We start from the raw sequence: 2,460 nt of genomic DNA, 5'->3' as shown, positions 1-2,460 counted from the left end.
GTCTCGAACTTCTGGGCTCAAGCCATCCTCCTGCCTTGGCTTCCCACAGTGTTGGGATTACACGTGTGAGCCACTGTGCCCTGACCTTTATCCGCTTTTTAACTTCATATTACCTTCTAATCATTAAAAATGCACATTATGTTCATTTACATATGATGCATTTAGAATTTTACTGTGCTTTTCTTTTTTCTTTTTTTTTTCACTTAGTATATATTTCGGGAATTTCTCCATGTAATCAAAATCTTTTGAAAATATAACTCTTGGCTGGGCGTGGTGGCTCACGCCTGTAATCCCAGCACTTTGGGAGGCCGAGGAGGGCGGATCACCTGAGGTCGGGAGTTTGAGACCAGCCTGACTAACATGGAAAAACCCCATCTCTACTAAAAATACAAAATTAGCTGGGCGTGGTAGCGCATGCCTGTAATCCCAGCTACTCGGGAGGCTGAGGCAGAAGAATTGCTTGAACCTGGGAGGCGGAGGTTGTGGTGAACCCAGATGGCACCATTGCACTCCAGCTTGGGCAACAAGAGTAAAACTCTGTCTCCAAAAAAAAAAAAAAAAAAAGGAAAGAAAGAAAAACAGAAAAGAATATAACTCTTGAAGATTATTTAATATCACAACATATACTCTAATTGCTTAACCACTCTGTTTTTTGACATTTAGATTGTCATTTTTTTAAGAGTTGAAGTCTTTGCCTGCCTGTATCAAAACATTTCATGTACTCCATTAAATATATATACCTACATTTACCCCCAAAAATTAAAAATAAAAATAAAAAAATAGAGTCAGGTCTCACTACGTTGCCCAGGCTGGACTCCAACTCCTGGGCTCAAGCAATCCACCTATCTAGCTTCCTGAGTAGCTGGGACTGCAGGTGCGTGCTGCCAAGCCTGACCTGTCACTTTTTGATATTGATCTCATTCAGATGTTGGCTAGCTTTGTCATCTGCATGAGATGACTCTTGGCAAGTCCTCTGCTGGCTATGACACAAAATCCAATAAAGTCATATTAACAAGTTAATGAAATCATGCATTCAGGTGTATCTGTGTTGAAGGCCAGTGGTCTTCACTAATATTCACATCTTCTTTTTTTTGTTTTGTTTTTGTTTTTCTGTTTGACAATGAGGATACTTATTGAGGGTTTATTGGGTACAGGGAGAAGGGCTGGATGACTTGGGATGGGAGGAGAGACACCTCCCCTGGGATCCTCCAGCTCCAGGCCTCCATGGGTGGGGTGAGGGCCAGGGACCTAAGAACATTCTGTATGGGCCATTGTCTTCTCCAGGGTGCTCCTTTTATGCATGGCCCAGCAGTTGTAGCTGCTGCGGGATCTCCACTGTTCAGGCATCAGGCTCAGGTAGCTGCTGGCCTGTTTCTTGCTCTGTTTGGGAGGCTTAGTGGTCTCCACGTCCTGGGTGATGATGATGCCGTCTGCCTTCCAGGCCACTGTCACGGTGCCCAGGTAGAAGTCATTCATGAGACACACTAGGGTGGCCTTGTTAGCTTGGAACTCCTCAGAGGAGGGCGGGAACAGAGTGACCAAACGGGGAGCCTTGGGCTTACCTAAGACAGTGGGCTGGGTCTTGCTGCCAAACATGTGCGACAGTGAATGATGCTTGGATCGAAACCCTTAGGGCCAGAACCTGGGGCCAGTCCAGGAGCTGGGCTGCAGCAGAAACAATCATGGTGGAAGGGGAAACAAACATGTCCTTCTTCACATGGCAGCAGGAGAGAGAATGAGCATTCACATCCTCTTCTAAGGAGACTTCTGCCTCTAATAAGCTCTCCCACACCACTCACAGCTGATTGGACCAAGGATGGACACCTGACCCAAGACAGGCCAGATACTGTGGTGTCGGCCAGTAGGAAAGGTAAACTGGGTCACAAAGAGGAACCATGAGAGTAGGAGGCAGCTACCCTAGGGAGCCAGAGATGAGAACATGCAAAGAAAAGCTTTGAGGGAGAAATCACAGTTGGAGAAAGACTGGAGATTACAGCTCCCAACCTGGCTCTGCCAGCTGGTTTTGTCCCTCAGCTTTCTTGAGCTGTAATTGACAAAGAAAAGTTGTATGTGTTTAAGGTATAATGCGATGTTTTGATACACATCATGAAATACATCATGAAATGATTGCCGTAATCAAGCTGATTAACAATACAATCTTACCTCACATAGCTACCATTTGTGTGGTGTGATGAGAACATTTAAGATCCACTCTCTTTGCAAATTTCAAGTAGACAATACAGTATTGTCAACCATAGTCAGCAGACTGTACATTAGATCTCCAGAACTTACTCATTTTCTAAGTGAAACTTCACACCTCTTGACCAATATCTCCCATTTTTCCCACTCCCCAGCCCCCGGTAACCACTGTTCTACTTCCCCGGCTCCTAGGAGCTTGACTCTGTTAGATTCCTCATGTAAAGGAGATCATGGGACATTTCTGTGTCTGGCCTACTCTAC

The 2,460-nt window shown here is 45.2% G+C and overlaps 1 pseudogene, besides 1 other annotated feature; it reads right to left on the bottom strand.

The window, feature by feature from the left end:
* On the bottom strand, positions 1,248–1,679 carry IGLJCOR18 (immunoglobulin lambda joining-constant/OR18 (pseudogene); annotated as a pseudogene).
* Positions 1,437–1,658: a silencer, noted in NCBI's record as "fragment chr18:3394905-3395126 (GRCh37/hg19 assembly coordinates)". NCBI's record gives its function as "represses an EF-1alpha promoter that drives an FKBP-Casp9 reporter gene in an ReSE screen in both phorbol 12-myristate 13-acetate-treated (for megakaryocytic differentiation) and untreated K562 erythroleukemia cells {active_cell/tissue: K562 | K562(+PMA)}" and the evidence as "EXISTENCE:reporter gene assay evidence [ECO:0000049][PMID:32094911]".

The sequence above is a fragment of the Homo sapiens genome, chromosome 18 (genome assembly GCF_000001405.40).
Source record: "Homo sapiens chromosome 18, GRCh38.p14 Primary Assembly".
NCBI classification, from domain to species: domain Eukaryota; kingdom Metazoa; phylum Chordata; class Mammalia; order Primates; family Hominidae; genus Homo; species Homo sapiens.
The sequence above is the reverse complement of the archived record's forward strand: the minus strand, read 5'-3'. Positions and strand labels throughout refer to the sequence as shown.